We start from the raw sequence: 1629 nt of genomic DNA on the forward strand, positions 1-1629 counted from the left end.
TAATGTTGCTTTACATCTAGAAAAACATCATAGATTCAAAATGCTTTTAGATTGTTATCCTCGGTATTTGTGGCAGGCAGCCTGTCAGATAGCTGTCAATGAGCCCTGGATCCTGGTAGTCACGTCCTTGGGTAATTCCCTCCCTGTGTGCGTGGATGGATCTAGTGACTTGATTCAAACAAACAGAGTGTGGCAAAAGTACTGGGATGCCCTTTCCAAGATTAAGTATCAAAAGACTGTCTTTCATCTTGCTTACATTCCCTATCTTGTCATCTTGATTGCCCTCTCTGACGATGCCAGCTACATGTTGCAGATGATCCTATGGGGAGGCCCATGTGGCAGAGAACTAAAGGAGGCCTCTGGCCAGCAGCCAGTGAAGAGCTCAGGCACTCTGTTAAAAGCCCATGAAGAATGGAATCCCGACAAAAATCTCTTGAGTAAACTTAGAATAAGATCCATCCCCAGTCAAGCCTGAAGATGAGACTGCAGCCCAGCCAGCACCTTGATTAGGCCTTGTTAGGGACCAGAGAACTCAGCTAAGCCATGCCTAGATTCTTGATGCACAGAAACTGTGAGATAATGACTATGGGTTAGTTTAAGTCACTAATTTGGAGAGAGTAATTTATTAAACAGTAATAAATAACTAGTACAGCAATGTTCCTACACATATACATCTATAGAACTTAGGAAATCCACAATAAAATAACCAACTCAACAATGGAAGTTACAGTTTTGAAGAATGACCATCCATCAAGATGGGGCAAGCAACCAGAAGAAAATTTTTACAATTATCCATTTTTGAAACTTGAAATTTATGTACTTCCTTGTTTGATGATGCATTAGCATGAAGTGCTTACCATAATAAAAGGTTTTCCATCATGATGTAGAATATTTTTTAAAATCATTGGAGGCAGCAGAGGAAGTAGACTTTCACATTCAGTGATGACTTAGGACTGTCCTTTGTATTCAATCATAAAGCTTTTTACCCATAATAAACTCATTAGCATAGAACAGCGATATTCTCTACTAAGTTGTGTTTCCAGAATGTGTGTGATTTATTTCTCATTTATACTATGCATCTTTGTCTCTTTCTAATTTCTTTTCATTGGGTATTTGGAAAGACATCACTTCATAACCAAGGAATTAAAGGGAGACCAGTGACAGGCAAATGGCTTTACTAAATGCTCTCAAGCTTCTCCAAAGATTTTATCCTGTGTGGAAGATGAGCCATTATTAGTTTCTAAACAATAGCTTACTTACTTCTGGATTTTATTTCAACTTAATGAATAGAGATGCACTAAGTAATAACCACTTATCATCTTCACAAATCCTAATGCCTACACCTGCATATTTTATTATTTTGTTTTCCTATACCTGCTTCCATCTCCTGAAAGGGGTCTCTAACATACATTCAAGGTCTTTCTAGAAAAACGAGTGGTGGGAAACTTACGTTAAATGATGTGAGGGCCACATTGTGAGTAAAGGCAGTTAATAGCAGAAAGTCAGAGACCTGGATTTGTTGGATAAGCATATACAGTGCTTATATCAGAACAGAGAAGGCAAGGGGGCTGGAACTTAACATTCACTTGTAAAACTCAAGGTAGTAACTGAGACCCAGTATTCCAGGGG

Source organism: Homo sapiens, chromosome 3 (assembly GCF_000001405.40).
Source record: "Homo sapiens chromosome 3, GRCh38.p14 Primary Assembly".
Classification (NCBI taxonomy): Eukaryota; Metazoa; Chordata; class Mammalia; order Primates; family Hominidae; genus Homo; species Homo sapiens.